The following is a 23276-nucleotide window of genomic DNA, read 5'->3' as shown; positions in this document are numbered from 1 at the left end:
AGCCCCGTTCACAGCCAGGGAAGCTGAGGCTGTGGCAGATGGGGCAAGATAACTCAGGAAATCCAGGCAGCGGAAGACAAGCCTGCCGTGGCCTTCCACCCAAAACCGGGGAAGCCCTTCTGCATGCAGGCCCTGTCCCTTCCCTGGGAGCCCCTGCCTGGGGTGGGCTGGGGAGGGCCGTCGTGAGGGAAAGGAGACAGAGGGCGAACAACCCAAGGAGAATGTAAGGCTGGGTGGGGCTCAGAGGATGGGGCAGGAATGAGATGCACCCTGGGGGTCCCAGAGTGGCATAGAGAGGTCCTCCCAGAGTAGGGTGGGGGGACTGGGCTCCCCAGGGAAGGAGGCTGGAGATGTCTGCCCCCTCCCTCCTAGCTTTCATTGGTGCCCATTGGACAGGTCCTGGCTCTGGGGAAGGGCAGGGCAGGGCTGGGCAGGAGCTTGTGCCCATGGAAAGCTCCCTGGAGATGCCACACCCTGCGGGGGACCTGCCCTACAGAAGGGGACATGGCCCATGCCCTGCAGGGCTTGGGTCCAACTGGCTGACCTGAGCCACGTCCTCCCCACTCCTCAACCACCCCTGAGACTCCATGGGCACTGGTGCCTGCCGGCACTGACCCAAGATGCCTCTGCCCATCTTGGGAAGGACAAGTTGAGACCCGTGGGTGTAGAGACCCTGCCAACTGCAGGTGGGACCAGTGCCCCTATCCCCCAGGGGCTCCAGACCTCTCCTGGCAGGGCTCCAGGCCCACCTGCAGCCATCTGGGCCAGGCCAACATCACCTCCAGGCCTCTCCTGGCTGCTCCCTCCCCTTCCCTCTCCTCCTGCCATTGCTGGCCGATGCCTCCAGTACCTCCCTCCCTAGCTGCAGCTCAGCCCTCAGTCATCCATCGCCTCCTGCAGCTTCTCCTCCCAACCCCAACTCCTTCCTGCTCCCCCAGGCAGTGGTGCCCACACTACCAGGCAAGGTTTGAGCCCAGGGACACCAGGGAAGTGCTTGGTCCTCAGTGTGGTGGGGAGGTGAGGGTGAGTCCTTAAATGGCCTAAATTGAGGCTAAAAATCTCTTAGACTGGGGTAGCATGCAGGTGCCTCCCCATAGACACACCTGCGCACCTGTGCTGCCCACTGCCACACAGAACAAATCTCTTGGCCCATGGCAGGAAGGGGGCGTGCACTATGCCCAGCAGGTGCACTTGTACTAGGCCAGGTGTCCGCTTTAGCTGTCGGCAGCAACTCACCCAGTGGCCAAAGCAGGGATGGGGCAACTTTGCAAAATGCTCATCCCCAAGTGGAGAGCTGGGTCCCCAGAGCCCAAACACACCCTGCTCCTCCCCAGACTTGGGCACCTTTCTTTACCATGCACAGCTCTGAGCAGCCATGCAGACAAACCTGGAGGGCCTCAGTGCTGAGTTCTTGTGAGGGGCTCTGCCTTGGGCCCTGGCGTCACTGTGGGGCGGGAACAGGAAGGGCCCCTGCTAACATCAAGGGGGTTGTCTCAATGTCCATGCAGGGCTGTCTCATAGCAGTGTCCGAGTTCCCCACTGGGTCCTGCAGGGCTCTGTGGGAACACACATTATTCTGAAGCCCACACCACAGGCTTACACCCAGCAGGACCAGCCAGGCCAGGAGGCTCTGGCCTCTGCATTCCTATAGCCCTGAGCCGTGTGTGGCAGCACTAATCTCCATTCTGCTGAGATTTCTGGGAGACCCCAGCAAATCCCTGAGCGTCTAGTCCCATGTCCTGATCTGCAAGCCGGGCATGCAAAACACAGGGAGATGCACACGAAGCTTTCACAGGAGTCCTGGTGCTGAGGTTTTGCATTTTTTGTTCAGTTTCATTGCCAGCAGCAGCCCCTGTGTCCCACTGAGTACTTCTGGAGGGGTCCAGCCACCTTATGCCTCCACACTCTCCAGCCTGCGGGGCCTGGCCCTTGGCACATCCAGGCCACCAACCTCAAAAATCAAATCAGTGAGATGGGTCGGGCGAGGTGGCTCACACCTGTAATCCCAGAACTTTGGGAGGCCGAGGCGGGCGGATCACGAGGTCAGGAGATCCAGACCATCCATGGTGAAACCCCATCTCTACTAAAAATACAAAAATTAGCTGGGCGTGGTGGCACGCGCCTGTAGTCCCAGCTACTTGGGAGGCTGAGGCAGGGGAATCGCTTGAACCCGGGAGGCGGAGGTTGCAGTGAACTGACATCACGCCACTGCATTCCAGCCTGGGCAACAGAGCCGTCTCAAAAAAAAAAAAAAAAAAAATCTGCGAGAGGGTGGGGGGTGCCGAGGCCAGTCTGGGCCAGCCTTAGGGTCAGGGGTCACTAGGGAGACCCGCCAGCTGGGATTTGATGAAGGGTTCACTCCCGTCCCCACTTAGGGCGTCCTCGGCCAGAGGTGGCCAGCGCCTGCCTCTAGGAACGTCCCTGCCCCTCAGGCCAGACACAGAGCATGCAGCCCCCCACTCCGGGGAGCCTCTCGACTCTGGCCGCACGTCTGTGTCCCTTCCCCAGACCTGGGCCCTCCCTCAGCTCCGGCGTCCACTGGGCGATCTGAGGAGCCCGCCCGCTCTGGGCCTGTTTCCCCACTGACACCCTCAGAGACGCCTGGCTCTTAGGATCAGAGCGTCTGCGTCCCTCTCCGAGGTCCCGGCCCTTCCCGGGGCCACTCTGCGCCCGGCGGGGAGGGGAGTCGTTCACGGCCCCACGCAAGACCCCCGGGCAGAGCGCGAGGCCTCGTCCCCCCACGCAGCCACTGCTTTCGTCGCGCTCAGACCCGGCGGCCCGGCCCGGCCCGGCGCACGCCCCGGAGCGCCCTGCTTCGCTCTCGTAGCGGAGACGCTCCTGCGTCCTAACGGGCCCCCAGGACGGCGGGCGGTCCCCGCGCGCTGCGCTTCCTCTCGGCAACGCGTCCGGCTGCGGCGCCCTCATTGGCCGCGCGCCCCGCCACCGGCCATTGGCTCGCAGTGCCTGTTTTACATAGGCCGCTCTGGCCAATCGGCGCGCGGCGCCTACTTAACATGCACGGCGGCCGCCAGTCAGCTAGCGCGGGGGCCGGGCCACCACGTGCTGTTGCTAAGCTCGGGCTTCTAAATTGTTACTAGCGCGGCCGGCCTATCCCAGCCCAGCTCTGCATCTGTCAACATTCTCGGCCCGGCCCGAGGCGCTCGACCCGTCCCCATTGGCCCCAGCCCGGCCCGGCGCCCGCCCCCGGGGCGCGAACGCCGCCTCCCATTGGCTCTGCGGGCCGCCGCTCTCCCTTATGTGTCAATTTGAGGGCCTGAGGCGGAGGGTGGCGGCCGAGCGCCGGAGTCCGCGGAGTCTGGAAGTGCGGCGGCCGGGCGCGCGGGGTGGGCGGCGAGCGGAGCCGGCCGGAGCGGGCCGGGCAGCGGCCGCCGCCGTCCCGGGGCGGACGGGCGCGGGCGGGAGGATGGAGCTGAACTCCCTGCTGATCCTGCTGGAGGCGGCCGAGTACCTGGAGCGCAGGGATCGAGGTAGCGCTCGCACCCCATTGTGCGCCCGCGGCGGTGGGCGGGCGGCGGGGCCGTGCCGGGCGGGGGCCGCTGACCGCGCCGTGTGTCCGCAGAGGCCGAGCACGGCTACGCCTCGGTGCTGCCCTTCGACGGCGACTTCGCCAGGGAGAAAACAAAGGCGGCCGGCCTGGTGCGCAAGGCCCCGAACAACAGGTACCGCCCCCCGCTCCCGACCCCGCCCGGCCCGGTCCGAACCCCCGCCCCCGCCCGGAGCGTGCTCTCCGGGCCCCGATTCCCGGCCCGCGGCCCTCAGCGCCGCCGCCGCGCGCCCCGGCGGCCAGCCTGGAGGAGGAGGCGCGCAGGCCGCGGCCGCAGCCCCGCCCGGCCGGCCCCGCCCTCGCCGTCGCCATCTTCCCGCGGCCGCGCCTCCCGGGCCGCTCGCGTAAACAGTGCCACGCGTACAGCGCCCGCCGCCGGGGTCCGCTCCCGCGCCCGCTCCCCGCCCCCGAGTTGTTCTGGACTTTTCCAGGCGGTAGAAAAGTTGTCAGCGGGCGCTGGCCGGTGCCCCGTGGGTCTGGGGAAACAGGCTCAGCCAGGGTCTGCGGGGGCTGCCGGCCCTAACCCCTTCTCTCCGCGGGTGGGTGGGCGGCCTCCTTTCGACTGGCTCTGCCAGCCGAACTCTGCTGCTCGGCCACCTTCCCCCGCCCCCAGGAGCCTAGACAGAGAAGCGAGTGGAGGCGCTGTCCTGGGCCCTCACTCCTCCCAGGGTGCCCACCGCTTCTGCCCAGCCTCCTGACACAGCGAAACTCCAGCCACCAGTATGGGGGTCCTCTTTTTTAAGACAGAGGCCTTTTAAGGGGGCGGGAGGAGGGGGCAGGCTGCAGGGCAGGGGCCCCATGAAGTCGTTACTACGGGTGCCAGCTGCGCCCTCCATACCTTGACCTCGTGTTCAGGCAGCAGAAGCCCTGAAGCTGGGGTGCGTACAGGTCCCCCGCGTGGGGAGTGGGGACCCTGGGCCGGGGCTCCCCGGGGATTTCCACCCTCCTGGCTGCTGTGAGGACCATAGCACACCTGGTCCTGTCTGGGCCCACCTTGGCCCAGCCCTTTTGTGTGAGCAGGCTGGGAGCTGCGTTTGTAGGGGGCTTCAGAGCCCCAGGGCATGGCTCATTCCTGTGGTCCACCTGTTCTAGGGAATCCGAAAGGCTGGTGTAGGGACCCATTTCTGTGGCATCCTGAGCCAGGCGAGGAATTGGTTGAGTCTCCAGCTGCCCTGGCTGGGACCCGTCCCTGAGTCCCAGCCCCTGGTCCCCTACTGGGGACAGTTTGGGGAAGGACAGGAGTGTGACGAGGGAACCATTGCCTCAGGCCTCCTCAGTGAGCAAGCCCGGCCCCCGCTGCCGCTTCTCTCCAAACCAAGTCCCTGACCCGTGGAGAACTCTGGGGCGTGAGCTGGGGCTCCCCCAGCATGGAGAATCCAAAGCTGACAACCAGCGTCCTGGCCAAGGCTGCCCGAACACTGCCTCTATGCTGAGCGTTTCACACATGCAGCCAGTTCATCTTCACCCCAGGCTCAGAGAGGTGATGTGATTTTTATCTCTATGGCCAAGGAAACTGAGGCAAGGAGAGGTTTGGTTACTTGCCTGCCACTCACCCATCTCTGATGACGCCTGTTCCTGAGATGGGGTCCCAGCTGTCCACATTCTGCTGGGACAGAGACCATGGGGGCACTGGTGAGGGAGACAGAGGGCTCCCCAACTCTGGTGCATCTCCCCTGGCTCCTCTGGGCCGAGCCCCGCTCCCCCGGGGCCTGAGGCAGCCCAGGGCTGGCGGCTTGGCCCCTTCCTCGGGTGGGCAGCACTGCCCTGGAGGTTTCCTCAGCCAGCCCAGACAAGTAGCTGGGCGGAGCAGGGGGCCAGAGGATCTCTGAGCCCCTGACTTGTCCCCACCTGTGAGGCTTCCATGCTCTGCCAAGGTGAGGGAGGGGACATGGCACAGTGAGGCTGGGGCAAGGGTAGGGAGTGGGGCCGGAGGACAGTGTCAGGGTTGAGGGAGGCGGCAGAGCACTGGGGCCAGCCTGCAGGGGGGTCCATTCTGTGGGAAGTGTGCTTGTCTCCTGGGGTCACGGGAATGCTGGGAACGCACTTGGCCTGGCCTCAGCGGGGACAGGTCCCACCTCTCCTGAGGGATAGAGTGCTCCTGGGACCCATGTTGCAAACATCCCCCTCGATGGACCCCAAGGGTCTCTGGGCCCAGGAGGAGCTGCAAGAGGGGCCCTGGCTGCTGGAGGAGGGCCCCCTGCCTCCAGGGTGGGGTCCAGCCCCGTGCCACCCTTCAAGGGGTAGGCAGGTAGGCTTTTATGTTGAAGGGCACCTGCTGACCCCGACCTCCCTCTTGACTACAGACCCACGTGGCCAGGCTGCAGTTTGGGCTGAGGACAGAGAGTACGGCTCATTCCTGCGGCCTGCCTATTCTGGGGAAGCAGAAACGCTGGCGTAGGGGCCTATCTCTGTGAGGCCAGTGAGGAGCATATGGCTGTGGCCTCTGCTGGCCCTGGTCGGCCCTGGCTGGCCCTGGCAGTGATTCGGAGGCTCCTTGTCCAGCCCATGTGACCAACAGGCCCTCCCGGACCCTGAGACCTGGGTCTGGAGGCTCTGCTGAGGCTACACAAGGAGGCCCAGGGCCTGTTGGTGCAGCGGGTGGGAGGGGCAGGCCCTTGGCCTGAGTGGTTGGGACAGGAGACGCCAGATCCCAAGTTCCTGAAGCAGGCAGTGGTCAGCAAGAAGCTTCAGGAAGGAGCCAGGTCCTGAGGGCAGGGAGAGGCCTCAGGGCTGGGTCTGGAGGTGCCCCGAGGCAGTCTGAGCTCTCTGCCCACCTGTGCAGCGGCATCCTGGGAGGCCCGGGAGCCCTGGCTGGCCTGTGGGGTCCTGCCTGGACACGGAAGGTGGCCTGGAGCTGGGAGCGAGGTCCCCCTGCCTCGTTATCCTCCAGGCAGATGCTGTGGCACACCCTGTGGTGCTGGGAATTGTGTGCCCGCGTCTGAATGGGCAAGACAGGTGAGCAGCAGGTGGGGCCACTGTCCCCAGAGAAGCTGAGCCCGGGCCTCCAGGGCAGCCCATCCTGCTAGCACAGCCCCTGAGGGAAGTGGGAGGGCTGGCCTCAGTGTCCCCCTGTGCCTACTGGCCTGGGAAGCATCCACATCTCAGAAGCCCCCTCATGGGCTGACCTGGCTGACGCTGCTGTGTCCCTGGTCCCCATTGGTAAGGTGGGCTGTGGTCACGCAGGTGTGTGAGCCCGAGAGAGTGGTGGTGTCAGGACAGGACCACCTGTGTCCTGAGGGCCTGGTCTCTGGGCTCCATCTCCACCTGCTGTTTGTCCCGGGTGCTAGGCTGCTTTGGCTCCAAGGACACAGCTGGCCTCAGGGATTGGGGAGCAGGGAAGGCAGGTGGCTGGTGGGGGTCAGCGCCAGGACCTGTTGCTGCTCCCTGGGCCTCCCCCATCCCTCTGGAAGGGGGCCTAGGTCCTCCTGTCAGCCAGATTCACCACGGGCCTTGCTAGGTGGGCTGGTGGCCCTGGGCGCCCTGGACCTGCCTGCAGCTCTGGGCCTCCCTGTAAGCAAGGCTGGCCCCTGCTGCTGCTTCTCACCAAACCAAGTCCCTGACCCATGGAGAACTCCAGGGCGTGAGCTGCGGCTCCCCCGGCACGGAGTACCCAAAGCTGACAACCAGCGCCCACCCTTAGCATGTGGTTCCCCCCACCCTGGGTGGGCAACTGCTCACCTGCCCCAGGCCTCACTGCTCTGGGCCATTCCAGGACCCAGACACAGCCAGCCACTGTCTGCAGGTCCTGGCCCCCTAGGAGAGCACTGCTCTCTGTGCCCTGGTGGGCAGGCAGAAGAGTGAGCTCTGTCTTTCTGTCTTTCTAAACAGGTCTTCACACAACGAGCTAGAAAAGCACAGGTAAGTGACCCCCCAGTTCCCCACATGAGCCCGACACCTGGCCCACCCTTTTACTGAGGGTGTGTGGTGCGTTGAGCCTGCCCCTGTCCCGGGCACGGCCAGCCGTGCTGCCAGGCTGTGTCCTTGTCTTGGGAATGGTCAGACTTGGAGGAGAAGGCTGAGGTCTGTTTCAGGCACTCTGTGCTAGAGGCAGGAGATGGCAGGAGGCCCAGGCCCTGCTTTCCAGAGCTCATCCAGGTGGGGGTGAGAGATGTGGAGCAGGGCCCCTTGTGCTGTGTGACAGTCAGGGCCCTTGGCTTTCAGGACAGTGGTCTCCAATCAGGAGGGTTCGGCTCTCTGCCCTGTGCATCCTGGGGTCTGCCTTCCAAGAAGCCGTGCTAGAGTCTTGTCCGAGGGGCAGATGGAGGGCAGCCAGTCCCTGGCCGCCTGGGAAGCTCCAGCCTAGGGCAGGATTCAGGCGAGCTCTTGAGTAAAGCTGCGGGGTGTTCATTCCTCCTGGTGACAGCCGGAGGCAGCTAGGGCTGCAGGCTCAGCTCTGCTGGTGGGGATGAGGTGCAGGTGAGCTCAGGGGCCTAGGGGCTGGCAGCGGGAGCCCTGGGTGAGTGCAGAGGCAGCCCTAGAGGCAGGAGCCCCCATGCCAGGACCAGGAAGAGTCCCCTGAGGGATGCTGGTCCTTCGCTCTCTCCTGACTTGTGATCCTGTCTGTGAAATGGGTCAGCTCTGTCCTCCCTTCCTAGTGGGGCAGGTCTGCGTGCTGCTTGAGCCCCCCACAGTCCCCTCCAGAAAGATTTGGTGCTCGGCCAGTTCTCCGCCTCCCCACCATGTCTACCCCCACAGCAGCACCAACTTCCGTTCTCCCGGGATTCAGGCCGCTGGCTGGGGCGGGCAGCTGGGCAGGGACAGAACGCAGTGTTCTCTGAGGAACTGCACTTCCTGGACAGGTCATGTGTGTTTCGGGGGGTTCCCTAGAGGCCACAGAGGTGGGGGCAGGTACAGGGCCCAAGAGAACCAGGCAGGCCTGGAATTGTTCCAGGCCTAAGAAGACCAGCCTAGCCTTGACCAGGACCCAGGAGCCGGGGCAGGCACGTGGGGGTGTTCAGGGAAGGCTTCCTGGAGGCGGTCCCTGGGAGGACAGCCCCCCAATGGGGACAGATTAAGGGGCAGTGACATTGGGGGAGGGTGGGTGGCAAGGGCGTGGCAGCCCTTGGGGAGGACAGGGGACCCCTGCAGCTGCCCTTTGACCTGGCTTTGCCCTCTGTCCTCTCCTCCCAGAGGCTGCATTTAGCCAGGGCCTCATGGGGCCTTCTTGAGACACAGAGGAGGGGTGTGTGGGCAGCCAGGGTGTCTCTGTGGACTCCCCCACCCCAGTGCAGGGGGTCTCTGTCTCTGGCTGGCCAAGAGGCGGATGTGGACAGCCCCAAGCACCTACAGGCCTGGAGCTTGGGGCCCTGGATCACAGCCTACCTGATGCCAGCTGCTCTTGGCTGCAGGAAGGGCTGCGTGCTGTCTTGAGAAAGGAAGGAAGCCCCTGGCTGGGCCACCCAGCCATCCCCGGGAGGCAGGCCCTGGACATCGCTTTGCCCGGAGTTGTCCCCTTACTGGGGACTGGGCAGGGCCTGTGGGACTTCCCCTGTGGGTGCTCTGAGCCAAGCCTGCCCAGCCCTGCTCCTCATCCCTTTGTAGAGAGGCAGCTCCAGCAGGTCTGAGGCCGTTGCCAACCCCAGGGTCCTGGGGACCGTGGAGGCCTCGCCTTCTTGGCTGCTGACCTCACTGGCCCCACTCCAGGCTCTGATCTTAGTGTGTTTTGGGGGAAGGTCCCAGCCTTCTTTCCTGGCCCTTGACAGCCGCTGAATGGCAGGACCCATCCCAAAGGCCAGTCCAGAGTCTTCAGCTGAGTCTCTGCCCCACATTCCCCCAGGCACGTCCAGGAGGTCCCCAGGAGCCCCCTGCAGCCCAGCCTCATGTGCTGGTGCAGCCTCACACGGCTTTCACATACCTCGGGAAGTTCTGTTGGCAACATCTAGAAAACGCAGGCAGAGGGAGTGGGAGGCACGCTTGCTCCTGGGCCACCCCCAGCTCCCCGGCAGCGGCAGCCAGGCTCTCTGGTTGGCTGGGATGCTGGCGTGGAGCCATGCCCTCTCGGTGCCCTGGGTCCCCCTCTGGGCATGGGGGTTTTTGGGGGAGCTGGGAAGTGCTGCGTCAGAGGTGGGGCTGCTGTCGATACCAGCCCAGCGTGCTAGTCCTGCAGGCGGGTTCTGCCTCCTGAATCCACACAGGGTTCCTTCAGGAAGTGGAGGTTTTAAAAGCCCTTTGGATGCCCAGGGACAGCCGTGGGGTGCTGGCAGGGGGCCCAGGGCACTGCAGCGGCTTCAGGAGGGGAGGGCTCAGCAGGAGCCCAGTGCAGCCCCGGGCTGAGGGGCTTCATGGCTCAGAGGGGTGGGTGGGGATCTTCCTGGGGTCCCGCAACCAGCCACTGTAGAGTTGGCTCCAGGCCACTGCTGCTCTCCAGGGCAGGAATTTCTGTGGCCTCCAGCCCTGGCGCCCACACTCTTGGGCCAGGTGGACCTGTTACTGGGTTTTGGACAGTGCGTGTGTGTGGTCAGATGGCTTCTGTTTGTCTCTCGAGAAAGGTGTTCCGTGATTTCTAAAGCGGTCTGTTCACGGACCTCCCCTGCACCCCACCCCAGAGACCGCATCCCAGGCACTCAGAGGCTGAGCCACATCCTCCACTGCTCCCCGCGGGCACTAACATTGCCGATGAGACTTGGATAAGGAGGGGACCTTGTTCTCCATTTCCTCACTTGATCTTTCACCCGACACCACGTACGTAAGTCCTGTCCGCCTGCGTCAGGGCACACTCCTCCACCTTCTCATCCCTGATGACTGCACAGGACACTTGGCTGTGCCACCAGCGTTCTTTGTGATGACCCTCTGGTTTACACAGGGACTTCCGGACAGTCCTGCGATGTGCCTTGGTGAGCGCAGACCTTTGTGGATCTGGGGGGATAGTTTTGTAGGACCAAGGCCCTAGAAGTAGAGATGCTGGTTGGCGGTCAGTGATAACTGTATCGATGGCCCTTCAGACCTGTGTCCCCTTTTGCTCTCCCACCAGCAAACCATCAACGACCCCTCGAAGTGGCTGGCGCAGGAGCCATCCCTTCTCATGTCAGCCTGTCGGAGGGTGCAAGTTGTACCTCCTTGTTTGTGTGTGCATTTCCTGGCTCGGGTGAGATGGAGCCGGGCGTTAGGTTAGGTTGGCCCTCGTGTCCTGCAGCCTGTTTGTGTCCTTCGCCCGTTGTGACATCGAGGCATTCTGCTTTTAATTTTTGATGTGTATGAGCTCAAAATACCACAAATACTAACCATTTGTCTTTTATATGTATTGCAAAGATTTTTCTACTTGTTCTTTGTCTCTCAGCTGTGTTTTTCTTTCTTGTGCAAACGTGTCTTTCTCTGATTGTCACAGCAATGTCTGTGTGTGTTTTTTTTTAAGCGTAGAAAACCTGGAAAATACAGAAAAGCACAAAGCTAAAGAAATAAAATTGCCGGGTGCTTCGCCTGGAGACGCACGCTCCCTGTGCCTTGTTTGATTCTGTCGTCTCTTGTGTGCGTCTGCTCTTTTATTTTTTAAACAAAATTGGGTCACTTGTCACCTATGTGGTTCCGTATTCTAATTTTTCACTTAACATTCATGATGTGCATATGTAACACACTAAAATGATAATGAGGTTGTTTTGGGGTGGTGGAATTCGGGGGTACTTTTAATTTTTTTTTATTTTTTTTCCTTTTTGTTGATTTGCATTTTTAAATTGTTCTACAGAGGTCATATAGTGCTGATGTAATTACATGGTGGGATGGAAAGCCATTTGCTAGAGTGGACCAGGGAAGGAGACCCCTGGCAACGTCCCCACTTGCAAACCTCGTCCCAGTGGTGGCTGCAGTACAGTGGCGACGCGCCTTGGGAAAGGACCCCTCCCTGAGCAGAGAGAGCACGCTTTGGCCTCTTGCCTACACAGTTCCTGGGGTGGGGGGCGGCAGGGCGCTCACTCCTGTTGGCGGTGGGGAGGCTGAGCTTCCAGGCACTGGGGTAGTCACAGAGCGGCAGCCTGGGACCCCTTTCCCTGCACCTGTGCATGGGAGACAGCGTGGGAGACGTTGAGGATCTTGGCCCTGTTCAGGCCACCTCCAGGCAGACCTCCCGACTGGTGGGGCTGTTACCGCTGCACCCAGCAGCCCCCTCCTTCTTCAGGCTCCTCCTCTGTCCAGAGGAAATGGCTGTCCCTGCCGACGTTACTCCCAGGGGGACAAGATTTGCTGGGCTTGGGAACGGCAGGAGCAGACATGCCAAGGCTGGGGTGCTCAGTGTTGGCACCACGTGGGGAAAGTCACGTGTGTAGGCATCAGCTGTGGCAGGGCAGTTGGGCGGCAGGTTTTCAAAAGACAAAAAATATTCCTGCCCCTTCACCTGGTCATTCCACTCGTAAGGATTTACCCAAATCAAAGTGTCCTATATTTGGAAGCAGCCTCTGCGGCCTGCACGGGATGGGTGAGTCCGTGGTTGAACATGGCAGTGACAAAACCTCCGGGTGCCCTGCACTGCCAGGCAGGTGCACGTGGGCCTGGCCAGGGTCCCAGGCCGAGTTGATGCCTCTGGGTGAGCTGGGCTCCCCGCACCCCGTGAGCTCCACCAGCCTCCCCCGCAGACAAGCAGGCCAGCAGGGAAGGCGGTGTTTCCACAGGGGCAGGCCTAGGATGAAGCCAGGGCCCCTCTCCTGAGGTGCCCGATGAATGTGTCCTGGAGGATTGTGGCATGTGAGCAAGTACCCTTGAGTGTGAACAAGCAAGCAAGCACCACTGGATGTCATGGCTCCAGTTTTGTGGAAAGTGGATTCATCTGTGGATACGGGGACAGAATCTGGAATGAGGCAGTTTCCAAAGGGATATGAAACTTGGGTTGGAAGGGCCTGGTCCCTGGCCCTCCCTTGACCTAGGCTGATCATGTTTCCATGGTCACAAAAGTGACAGAGAGCACGTTGTGCACGATGAGGTAGAGAGACGTGAATCTTGTCTGGGTCCTTCCAGATCTCGGTGCAGCCTGAAAGGCACCCTCGCCTCACCCCACCCCTCCCTGCATGTGGACTCCAGGGTGGGGATGGGGGATGGGGGATGGCAGGGGGGCGAGCTGGGGCTCCTAGGAAATGCCTGGCGGTGACGCGCTGAGGCTTTGCAGGCCATGGTGAGCTGGGCGCTTCTGCCAGGTGTCTGGGGGCTGTGGGTGTTGGGCTCCTCCTGGGGGTGGGGGACGGGGGTTCCCAACCAGGCCAGGAGGGGATCCTTAGAGAGGGACCCTCAGCACATGTGCAGCAGTGGATGGTGGGGGTGGGTCTGTGCAGGGCCCTGGAAACTGCCTGCTGCCCTCCCCCACCCCAGCCTGATGGTTCTGTCTCTGGCTCTTTCAGACGAGCCAAACTCAGGCTGTACCTTGAGCAGCTCAAGCAACTGGTGCCCCTGGGCCCCGACAGCACCCGCCACACCACGCTGAGCCTCCTGAAGCGGGCCAAGGTGCACATCAAGGTGAGTGGGCCTTGCTCTCCACCCTGCCCTGTCTGGCTGCCTCAGTGTCCCTGCACGCCCTGGGGGGGTGCTCACAGGTGACCCTGGGCAGCCCTTGGATCAGAGGGCCTGAAGATGGGTGGGGAGCCATCTGGCGGGTGTGTGTCGGGGGCCTGGTGGGTTTTGCCAGGGTGGAGGAGCAGCAACAGGAGCTGCCAAGGGGTCGAGGCTGTTCCGTGGCTTGTGTCGGGTTTGTTGGGTGCTGATGGCATAAGAAGCCGCATCGCAGCATAGACTGGGATGGAGAGGAGGAGGTCGGGGGACAGATTGCTCTCTGGGGTCCTGGGCTGTGAAGAGGCAGCTGCTGGAAGGAGAGAGGGGGCCAGGGTTTCCTGGGTGCCATCAGAAGGCAGACTAAAAGTAGGCAGCCTGATGGGGGTGCCAGGGTGGGGTTGGGGCAGCGGGAGCTGGCAGTGGGTCTGGGCTCAGGGAGACATTCCCTGGGACCGCCCCCCAAAGGACTTTTGACAGCCCTGTTGGTTTGGGGGCCTTGTGACATTTGGACCAACCAGGGCAAATCTCTATCTGCTCTGAGGGCCTCTTCTGCCTGCATAGGCATGGTCACCTTCAGGCTGGGGTGTCAGGAGCTTTGAGAGGGGCACAACCAGAGCCCTGGGGGCCCTCACAGAGCAAGCAGTGTCTCAGTGGGGCCCACAGGAAGGTTTAGAGAGGGCAGGGCACAGGTGTTGCAGGGACAGGCATGGCATAGGCCACAGCCCGATGGGGGCGGGCAGGGCTGGGAGTGTGTGAGGAGACCCGCTGTAAGCAGGACTGTCCTGGAGACGGTGCCAGCCAAAGATTGGGTAGCACTGACCCGCTGCCACACATGGCTCAACTTGGCCAAGGCTGCCTGGTGGCTGCGGGTATTAGAGCTGGGCCGTAGACAGAAACCACAGGGCTGGGAGGTGGCATCTGACTGTGACCGCCTGGCTGGGGCAGGGAGGGACCCACCTCAGGCTGTGGGGCTGGCAGAGACTGGGCACCCTGTGGCCTGTAGCCTTGGCTAGGTCTTGGCAGGGATGGGGAACCTCCCGGGCCCAGGCCTGGGTGCCCCAGTGCCTGGCCAGGGGGATGGGGGGACTCCTCTTCCCGCTGTGAGCTCACAGCCCCCCTCGACCCCAGAAACTGGAGGAGCAGGACCGCCGGGCACTGAGCATCAAGGAGCAGCTGCAGCAGGAGCATCGTTTCCTGAAGCGGCGCCTGGAGCAGCTGTCGGTGCAGAGCGTGGAGCGCGTGCGCACAGATAGCACGGGCTCTGCTGTCTCCACGGACGACTCAGAGCAAGGTGGGGCGTGGGGCGCGGGGCAGCCTCACCTGGGCCTCCGGGTGCGCAGTGGTGCAGCTCCCTGGGTGGAGAGGAGGTGCCTGGTGCTGGGGCTGGGGAGAACCCTCCCAGCTCCCTGCTGCACTGGGGTGTGTGTTTGTCACTAAGCGCAGAAGGGACTGGACAGGGAGGGTGGGATGCAGAGGCTGTGTGGCCCGCTGAGGACTGGTGCTTCTGAGGCCGGGTTCTCAGCCAGAGCCCTCCTGGCGTCTGCTGCCCCAGGGCCCAGACAGCGCCCTCCGCACTTCTGCCCCTCTGCCTAGAGCTTCTGCTTCCAGAAAAGGGAGAAATGGGCTGGCACCCTCAGAGTGGCCTGACCCCATCCCCACTCTATTCTCCCTAGAAGTGGACATAGAGGGCATGGAGTTTGGCCCTGGTGAGCTGGACAGTGTTGGCAGCAGCAGTGACGCGGACGACCACTACAGCCTGCAGAGTGGCACCGGCGGCGACAGTGGCTTCGGGCCCCACTGCCGGCGGCTGGGCCGCCCCGCCCTCTCGTAGGCCCGTGCCCTCTGCTCCTTGGCCTGCCTGCCCGCCAGCCACGCGTGTCAGCCCTCCAGTTCTCCTTCAGTTGACGCCAGCCTCTCCACAGGCCCACTGCTGTGCCATTCTGGAAGCTCCAGCTGCTGCTGGGCTGCCTGGCACTGCCCGCTTGCCGGTCAGGGCCTGCCGAGCTGCCTGCCCCTTCCAGCTGGGCAGAGTCCCCTGCAAGGAGGCAGGGCCCAGCTTCCACATCCGGAGCCCTGGTCAGCATAGCCGCCCACGGTCTGTTCTCAGATTCCTAATCATTCCAGAAGTATTAAACGTCATTGCTGCAAACCTCGGCAGGTGCCGTGTGAGGGGCTTAATGACCACCACAGGGAGCTCAGACCCCAACCCTGGATCCCAGGAGAAAGGAGTGGACCGAGGAAGGAAGGAAGGCAAGGCTGTCTGTCCATCCGTCCGTCTGTCCACCTACCTGTCAGTCCACATAGGCTCCTGGCGTGGACAAGGGGTCTGTGAAGGGCGGGAACTGGGTGAGCACCTGGGGCAGGTGGGTGGTTAAGGTCCTTCCCACTTCGCAGGTGTCAGAACCTAGGGCTGGGCTCTCGGGGCCAGGCAGGCCAGCCCAGCCCACGCCGAGCTGGGCAGCGTCTGCTCTGGTAGGACTGTCAGACGCACACGCGCACGCACCTAGACACACCCACTCATGTACATGCTCACACATGCAGACACACCTGGGCGTCCCGAGGTCACATGTTCTGGGGATGATGGCCTTCAGGGGTCATCTGGCAAACAGCCCCTGGGCTGTGCCTGGATCCCCCTCTAGCTCCTGCTCACCCACGCCCACCCAGTAGTCCTGCCTGTCTGCACAGGAGAGGGGCTTCTCTTCCTGGCTGGGGCTGGGGTGAACTGGAGGCTGGTTAAGTTGCAGCCGCTGGGTCCTCGGGGGCTTACTCATCTCCCTTTTTTAAACAAAAAGCAAAAAAGTAAAATGCTGCACTGCCCAGCAGCCCGGTTAGGGCTCCTGGAGCCACCTTAGGAAAGGGCTTCTCATGAGCTCTGCTGCGGCAGCTTCAGCTGGCAGAGAGGCTTTCCCAGAAAAAAAAAAAAAACCATTTTTAAAAAGAAGAAAGCCTAAAGACTCTCGGCCTAGGGACGTCCGTGTGTGCCGCCTCTGTTTCCTGTACCAGATTTTTGTATTCTATTTTCCTAGCTGTTGTTGCGTCCTTGTTTGCTGAGGGGTGGGAGCCACCCAGCGTCTCAGGGACCTGTCCCTCCGTCACGTCGTCAAAGTGTGCCTTGTGTCTTGTGTCAGGCCTTGCCCTTCCCACCAGCATGTCCCTCGTGGCTCAGGGTGCCCCAGGCCTGCCCAGCTAGTGCTGTCCTCCCATCTCCTGTGGGCAGCCCCTCCCGGCAGCCAGGGCTTCCTGGAGGCGATGCAGCCAGGCCCCTGTGGGTGGCACGGAGGGGCTGTGACCTGGTCCCCAGTGTTGCCCTCCCCAGTGGCTGGCAGGGGCCTGCTTGCTCACTAGAGAGATGGATTCTCACCTGTCACCTGACTCGAGCCCCCTGCTTCCTGGCCTAGGCGAGGGTTCCAGGTTTCAGACACTGGCAGCCAATGAAGACTGTGCTCGCTGGGTGGTGCAGGCCTGGCACCAGGAGGCTTGCACCCGCCTTTCCTTCCTGACGTCCTCTGTCCTTGGGGCTGGCCCATAGCAGTGCCTGCCGTGCCTCTGGTACATCTGTAGCCAATTCCCATATCATGGGGAAAATTCGTGTCTATTTTCAGTCGTACGCATAGACGCCCCAGGATGGGGGGCCCACTGTGGCGGAAGGGGGTCCCTGGAAACAACTCTGGCACAGAACCTGCCCTGCAGGCTGTAGGGGGCATGGTGCCTGGAGCTGAGGGGCATCCGAACGCGTTGCGGGTGGTTGTGAGGAGGCCTGTCTGCATCTCCTTCCGGCCCCACTGGGGTCCAGGGGTGCCCAGAAAGGAGCTTCCCCTGCCTGCCTGAGTCTGTCCCCCCAGGCTTCATTTCAAACACCGTGGCACCTCCGAGCAAGGCGGGCCGTGTGTAAAAGCTTGCTTCCCCAGCCAGCACTGCAGGGCCCTGAGGTGGTCGTGTCCCTGCCCTCAATTCTTGAAGCACCAGCTCCCTGCCCCACCCTCCAGTGCCTGAGGCAGCTAGGGGCTTCTGCTCTCATCTCTGACCAGCAGAATCCACCCGGTGACCAGTGGTGGCCCCTCAGCCCACCCTCCCGGCAGCTCAGCCTGTGGCTCTTGAGGCCGTGGTTCCCACGTGGACTGGGAGGCAGTCTCAGCCACCCGGGGTGCTGTTCAGCTGCCCCTCCCTGCCATCAGCAGGTGGGTGAGGGGTTGCCCACTGGGTGGGGGCCCGTGCTAGGAGTCACCACATGCTCCAACCTCCCACTGCTCCCTGTCAGGGGCCCAGGCTGCCATCACTGGAGGCTGCAGGGACCAAGAGGCCATCACCGTGTCTATAGAGAGCAGACAGAAGCAGAACAGAGCCCGGGGCTCCTGAGCCTCTGCGTGTGCCCTCCCAGCCCACACCAGTGCTCTCGGCCACTGAGCACCCAGACTCAGGCTTGGGTTCCCCAGCCTTATTGGAAGGCAGCTCCCGCATACCAGGATAACCCCCGCAAACCACATAGCAGACCCCCGCCATCCTCGCAGAGTGGGAGAGGCTGCAGCAAGGCTTTGCCTCTGCAGACCCCATCTTAGTGGCACGGTGCTTGGGCCTGTGTCCCCGGGTGGTGGAACCCTGTACCGGTCTGTGGCCCTAGGGTCCCTGCTCTGTCTGCCCCGGCCCGTGCTGTCCGCTGGGTGAGGCAGGCTCCCCCGTGCCCTGCCTCCCTCTGTCAGGGAACCTGGGACCCCCTCCCCACTGCCTGCACAGAGGACCCTGACCCTCGGCCAGCAGGGTGGCCCCAGGTCCATGTTGGGCACTAGGGCAGGTTCCGTGCCAGAGTCGGGGGCCACACGAGGGCCTGGTGCCGGTGAGGGGGGCGTGCGCTAGAGGGGGAAAGGGGCCCCCGGCCACCTGTCCACCGTGTGGGCCGTGCTGTGTCCTTATGTCATTGTAATATAAATACAGATTTTTATATCTCACCCTGCTGGCTCCGGCTCTTTCTGTGGTTGTCACTGTCAGCGTGCTTCGCGCCCTGCCCTCGGCCTCCAAGCAGAAAGCCTGGCCCAATGGCACCACGCCATGTGGCCTTCGGGCCGTGGCCCTCGTTGCCCTACCACAGCCTCTTTCCTGGGAGGCCTGACGGAGCACGGCACCCCGTGCCGCCAACCACACCGGGCCCGCCGTCACAGCTGCCTCCCTGGATGCTGTGGCGCCTGGAGCTGGGTGAAGGTGGGGTTGAGGTGGGCGCCCCCATGGGCCTGTTGGCCAACTGGATGCTCTTGTTGCTCTTGTCCCAGAGGCACTGGGACTTTGCCTCTGGCCCTTGTGCTGGGGCCCTGCTGGCCGAGGACAGCCCGCTCCCTGGGGTGCTCCGTGCCAGCCAGGAGCCCTCTGCACAGAGGCTGCTGGCTCTCAGAGCTGCACTGTGAGAATCGCTCTGTACCTGTTCCCAGAACTACCTGGGCACGGCTTCTGCTTCCTGTCATGGGGACCTGCCGTGCTGAGGTGAAGCGAGATGGTGTAGCCAGCTGTCCCCTTGTGCTGGTGGTGACCACGGAGACACAGGCTCCTGTCGTGCCCATCACGGGGTGGTTGTGAGGCGATGAGACTTCACGCAGTGGGGAGAAGAGGCCTTGTTCTCACCCAAGCAAGCCAGGCTGGCTGCCCGCTCCCCCACAGGGAGGCCTTTTGGAGGGAACCCCCTTGGAAGCAGAGACCTCTGATCTGCCGAGGGCCGGGGTTGGTGGGGGTGTGGGCCCAGCTACCCTGGTGCACAGGGAGGAGTCCTGGGGGCCCCAGCAGTGGGCAGCTGAGAGAGGACATGCCTGCCTTGAGTGCTGGAGAATTGATGGAGCTGGGTGGTCATACGGGGGGTCCTGAGTGTGAGGTCGCCACACTGTGCACACGGCAGCTATGCACTGGAGGTGGCCCAGTGGGACCCGCCAGCAGGTTGTGGGGTGGCCATGGAGGGTAACTGCTGGGGGCCTCAGGGAGGAATCTGAGCTCCCCTAACCCCCAGCAGCAGAGTCCGGATCGTTGAACCTGTGTGGGCCCCAGGGCCCTCGAGGCCATTAGCGGGGGCACCCCAGGAAAGAAAGCAGTTCCTCCTGGGAATGTGGCTGGGGCCTCAGAGACACCAGGATTTGGCCATTCATGTAAATGTGGACATTTAAATCCCAAATATTAGGATTTGGGATCACCACTACCGTTTTCTATCGAGGGCATGCAGGTGCCAGGGGCTGTGCCCAGTTCCATGTATGATTGGTGCCTGGTACCATCATGCTGGGCCCTTCTCACAGGTGGCACACTGAGATTTGGAGACGCACCCCTCCCCTGCTCACCAGGCTGGCGGGTGGGATACCTGGGACAGGACCCCTGTCCTTTGGGAAGCCCTTGATTCTCCCAGCAGAGTCCATCTCTGTTTTCCATCTTTGTGCTTGTTGGGTTACAGCAAGTCCCCCTCCAAGTAGGACCCTGCCTGCAGCCTCCTACCCACCCTCTTCTTGGCAGCCTGAATGACCTTAAAGGTCTCCTTGCTCACCTCCCTAAAGTCCTCCTCTGGGTCCCCATGGCCTCCAGATTAAACTGAAACACCGCGTTTTGTCCTTCAGCTCAGTCCGGCCCACCCCTGCCCTGGCTTCAGCCCCCACTCCCACCTGCTCCCTGCATTCACCAGCTCAGGCACAGCCTCCTCTGGGAAGTGGGCCCTGAGCCCCCTATATCCCTTCCCACCACATTTTTGCTGAGATTATGGTCACCCAAATTAGGCGCTGGAATCATCTGGGCTAATCGCCACAGGGCCTTCTCGCATTGCTCCTTCCTCCTTTCCTAGTCCTTGGCCAGGTCAGCCCTGTACACACTGGCCTCATGGGGATCTTTCTAGAATGTAAATGGTTATGCCACTGGCCTGCTGAGCCTCAGGGGTTCACAACTCCTCTTCCTGTCCTGAGGCCCTTTCTGACACCCCACCAGTCCCAGGCTCTGCTGCCAGCCCTTGTGGTTCCCATTCCTCCCCACTTCAAAGGCCCTCTCCACGTGGCCACCTTGGTGAATGAACTCTGTCACCTCCTTTGGGCTTGTGCTGACCCAAACCTGCTCCTGAGTCTGGGGACTGAGTTCTCGCTTTGTCACATGAATGTCAACAGGATGGAAAACAAACTCTTTCCCAACCCTATAGTCTTCTACTTTCTTCTTAACAGGAAGGATTAGTGGGAAGAATAGGAAGAAATGCCACTCCCTACTCAGCTGGAAACCCCGGAGTGTCTCGGACCCAGGCTAGTCATCAGGCCCCAGGCTTTGCCAGCTCCTGCAGCTCTCTCTGTCCAGCTCTCTCCTCCTCTCCTACATGCTGCAAGAGTGGTCCTGTATCTTGTCTCTTACCACCTTTTGTCATTTTTCATCTTGCAGAATTATGCTTCTAACACACATCTGAGAATTCACTCTCCTGCTTGAAAACAGCCCCCATTCTCCATTGCTTGCAGAATAGAGTCCCACAAAATTCATGGAAAACTACATCTAAAAGAAATAATCTTTAGCATCTGACTGTTACTTCTAAAGTTTAAAAACAGTCAGAAAAGATACTGTCCAAAACCTAAAATATTTTTTAATACTAATAGGAGAAAATCGCTTCCACAGGAAGGAGAAAAAGCAAACAGCAAAAACACTTGATCCTCACAGCTCTGTCTTTAGGTCTGTTTAGTCCATTATATTCTCATGGGCTTTTTCAGGGAGGATTAATTCCTGGGTTCCATTTATCTTTTGACCTTACTAAAACTCCAAATAATTTTGACTGCTGAAAAGAAAGCTTACCCTGGAAATACACGTAACATACTTGCTTTCTTAAATTCCCAAGGCAAGCTGAAGAAAACTTTCCACATCTGTATAGTTAAACCTATTGTGTTTGTCATTTGTACTCCAGGGGCTGATACTGTTGTAATTTTTACTTAATGGTTTTATGGCTTTTATGGTCTCATAAACACCTTTCCAACAAATAACTATGGTCAGCAATTCAAAATCAGATGGAGAATTAATTTGTGGCCCAAGAAACCACCCAGGAGTCACTAGGAAAGTGGGTTTCTAGAACGGCCTCCAGGGCTCTGGAGTGCACCCCTCCTGCCCTCCAGGGATCTCTTTCTATAAAGGAGCCCCTTGTCTTTCTGCCGTCTTTAATGCTGTCTCCTCAGAGTTCCTCCTTGCAGTCTATAAATATCCCCGAGTTCCTCTCATTTTCAAACAAAACAAAATAAAAAATCCTCCCCTCAGCCCTGCATTCCCACCCCCTCAGCTTGTGTTGTTTTGCATGCTCGCTCTCTGTCTTTCTCCTCTCTCTCTCTCTCTGTGTCTCTGTCTGTCTCTGTCTCTCTGTCTGTCTCTGTCTCTATCTGTCTCTCTGTGTCTCTGTCTCTCTGTCTCTGTCTCTGTGTCTCTGTCTCTCTGTCTCTGTCTCTCTGTGTCTCTCTGTCTCTGTCTCTGTCTCTCTGTCTCTGTCTCTCTGTTTCTGTCTCTCTCTGTCTCTCTGTATCTCTCTCTCTGTGTCACACTCCTCCCACCCAGTCTTTGCCTCATCAGCAACATTTCTGGAAGGCATTGCCTGCACAGCTCCCACTTCCTCCTGTCCAAACTGGCTCAACTCTGCCCCCTGATGCACACCCCCAACCTCCAACCCTGGGCTGCAAGGGTCCTCCCACCAGGCCTCCCCGTTCCAGCATCCCTGGTTTCCTTGCCTGCAGATTGGGCACCACTCTTTGAATTTTTTCCCATCATGTTTGTTTTTCAGATCATTTTAGGCCTTATTGACTTTTAAAAGAGGAGGAAAAAAACGTGAAACAAGTGAAGAATGAATAGGAAATATCTTTGACTCGATCAGATTACAATATTTGCCTTAGAACATTCTTATTTCTCTCCTTAAAAATATTAAGAAAAACTATCCAAACGACTTCTACCTAGTCACCCTGGACTAGGACATTGTCTAACAAGCCACCTTTAGGGTCATTTGACGCTGAAGGGAGGGAGTACTATTATATTTACCCATGACCAAAGCCCCTGCTAACCTGTGGAAGACTGAGGAGTGGCAAAGGATTTTTGTTTGGTAGAGATGCAAACGAATTCTGTCCAATAGAGAGGTCTGGTTTCACTGGGCTGTAGGGCATCAGCCAGATTCACATGAAATTTAGCAATCCCGTTTCAGTCATCTTTCACTGACTGCCATCCTCTTTGGAAATGGTGTACCATCCTCCTTGAGTTAAATATATCGATGTATTTAACTCAGGCCATTCCGTTTATTTCTAACATTTTGAAAAGGGAATTGTGGAGGAAGTCAGCTTTTTTTTTTTTTTTTTTTTTGAGACGGAGTCTTGCTCTGTCGCCCAGGCTAGAGTGCAGTGGCGTGATCTCGGCTCACTGCAACCTCCACCTCCTGGGTTCAAACGATTCTCCTGCCTCAGCCTCCCGAGTCGCTGGGATTACAGGCGCCCACCACCGCGCCCGGCTAATTTTTGTATTTTTTAGTAGAGATGGGGTTTCACCATCTTGGCCAGGCTGGTCTCGAACTCCTGACCTCATGATCCCCCCCCCCCCCCCCCCCGGCCTCCCAAAGTGCTGGGATTACAGGCATGAGCCACCGCGCCCGGCCAGAAGTCAGCTTTTACATAGTGTTCTGGTGAGGGATTAGAAATTAAGTGTTTTTGCAAAATAAAGTTCATTGTAAAAGACTCTAAGCGAACAATCCCTAACCCTTAAAATGTACCAGGCATTGGTCGGGCTGCTGTGAATGTTCCGGGAACTCGTCTCTCTCGGGGGCGAGCGCTATCACCGCCGGGCTCCAGCCTGTCTCCCAACCACCAACCTGCGCTGCTCTTTGTACCATTCAAAAGTGCCTTCAGAGGGTCTAGATTGAAGTACGGGGCAGGGCAGGCCTGAAGCACAACTGACGGCTCCGTTGAGAGCAGGCCCGCAGCTTCAGCTCCCCAGAGGGCGCCCCACCGCACCCCTCTGCACCCCTCTGCACCCCATTCATTGCCCAGGCTCCGCCCCCTGCCCAGGCCCCGCCCCTGTCCAGGCCCTGTCCCCGCCCTTCCCGGCCCAGACCCCGCCTCTCTCTGCCCTGCGCCCCGCCCAGGAGGCAGGATGCCCGCAGCGGCCGGGGGCCGAGCGCCGCCTGCTCAGCTCCACCCCATAGTCCAGCCTCGCCGACTCCGCCTCTTTTGACACTACGCCTGCGCAAACAGTCATCCCCCACGACCACGCCGTCGCCTTGTGCGCTTGCGCGCGTCCAGGCGCTCCC

At 60.8% G+C, this 23276-nt stretch overlaps 1 protein-coding gene and 1 non-coding gene across 2 annotated transcripts, besides 10 other annotated features; both read left to right on the top strand.

The window, feature by feature from the left end:
- Window positions 1624-2283: an enhancer, noted in NCBI's record as "H3K4me1 hESC enhancer chr4:2264849-2265508 (GRCh37/hg19 assembly coordinates)". NCBI's record gives its function as "activates a minimal SCP1, AML or CMV promoter by ChIP-STARR-seq in primed H9 embryonic stem cells {active_cell/tissue: H9 hESC(primed)}" and the evidence as "EXISTENCE:reporter gene assay evidence [ECO:0000049][PMID:30033119]".
- Window positions 2284-2945: an enhancer, noted in NCBI's record as "H3K4me1 hESC enhancer chr4:2264187-2264848 (GRCh37/hg19 assembly coordinates)". NCBI's record gives its function as "activates a minimal SCP1, AML or CMV promoter by ChIP-STARR-seq in naive H9 embryonic stem cells {active_cell/tissue: H9 hESC(naive)}" and the evidence as "EXISTENCE:reporter gene assay evidence [ECO:0000049][PMID:30033119]".
- Window positions 2284-3416: a biological region, named in NCBI's record as "H3K4me1 hESC enhancer GRCh37_chr4:2264187-2264848".
- Window positions 2577-3416: a silencer, noted in NCBI's record as "silent region_15162". NCBI's record gives its function as "represses an Ori minimal core promoter by ATAC-STARR-seq in GM12878 lymphoblastoid cells {active_cell/tissue: GM12878}" and the evidence as "EXISTENCE:reporter gene assay evidence [ECO:0000049][PMID:35858748]".
- Window positions 3296-17973, top strand: MXD4 (MAX dimerization protein 4). The gene is made up of 6 exons (NM_006454.3): window positions 3296-3488; window positions 3581-3680; window positions 7394-7423; window positions 12883-12997; window positions 14159-14321; window positions 14704-17973. Exons 1-6 carry the CDS (start codon window positions 3425-3427, stop codon window positions 14859-14861), a joined length of 630 nt encoding a protein of 209 aa, NP_006445.1. The 5' UTR covers window positions 3296-3424; the 3' UTR covers window positions 14862-17973.
- Window positions 3467-3526: a silencer, noted in NCBI's record as "silent region_15161". NCBI's record gives its function as "represses an Ori minimal core promoter by ATAC-STARR-seq in GM12878 lymphoblastoid cells {active_cell/tissue: GM12878}" and the evidence as "EXISTENCE:reporter gene assay evidence [ECO:0000049][PMID:35858748]".
- Window positions 3617-4006: a silencer, noted in NCBI's record as "silent region_15160". NCBI's record gives its function as "represses an Ori minimal core promoter by ATAC-STARR-seq in GM12878 lymphoblastoid cells {active_cell/tissue: GM12878}" and the evidence as "EXISTENCE:reporter gene assay evidence [ECO:0000049][PMID:35858748]".
- Window positions 4017-4076: a silencer, noted in NCBI's record as "silent region_15159". NCBI's record gives its function as "represses an Ori minimal core promoter by ATAC-STARR-seq in GM12878 lymphoblastoid cells {active_cell/tissue: GM12878}" and the evidence as "EXISTENCE:reporter gene assay evidence [ECO:0000049][PMID:35858748]".
- Window positions 4177-4769: an enhancer, noted in NCBI's record as "H3K27ac-H3K4me1 hESC enhancer chr4:2262363-2262955 (GRCh37/hg19 assembly coordinates)". NCBI's record gives its function as "activates a minimal SCP1, AML or CMV promoter by ChIP-STARR-seq in primed H9 embryonic stem cells {active_cell/tissue: H9 hESC(primed)}" and the evidence as "EXISTENCE:reporter gene assay evidence [ECO:0000049][PMID:30033119]".
- Window positions 8133-8291: a silencer, noted in NCBI's record as "fragment chr4:2258841-2258999 (GRCh37/hg19 assembly coordinates)". NCBI's record gives its function as "represses an EF-1alpha promoter that drives an FKBP-Casp9 reporter gene in an ReSE screen in phorbol 12-myristate 13-acetate-treated (for megakaryocytic differentiation) K562 erythroleukemia cells {active_cell/tissue: K562(+PMA)}" and the evidence as "EXISTENCE:reporter gene assay evidence [ECO:0000049][PMID:32094911]".
- MIR4800 (microRNA 4800) lies at window positions 15249-15328 on the top strand. The gene has a single exon (NR_039964.1). It is a non-coding gene; the product is annotated as a microRNA 4800 (primary transcript).
- Window positions 22854-23213: a silencer, noted in NCBI's record as "silent region_15158". NCBI's record gives its function as "represses an Ori minimal core promoter by ATAC-STARR-seq in GM12878 lymphoblastoid cells {active_cell/tissue: GM12878}" and the evidence as "EXISTENCE:reporter gene assay evidence [ECO:0000049][PMID:35858748]".

The sequence above is a fragment of the Homo sapiens genome, chromosome 4 (genome assembly GCF_000001405.40).
Source record: "Homo sapiens chromosome 4, GRCh38.p14 Primary Assembly".
Classification (NCBI taxonomy): Eukaryota; Metazoa; Chordata; class Mammalia; order Primates; family Hominidae; genus Homo; species Homo sapiens.
The sequence above is the reverse complement of the archived record's forward strand: the minus strand, read 5'-3'. Positions and strand labels throughout refer to the sequence as shown.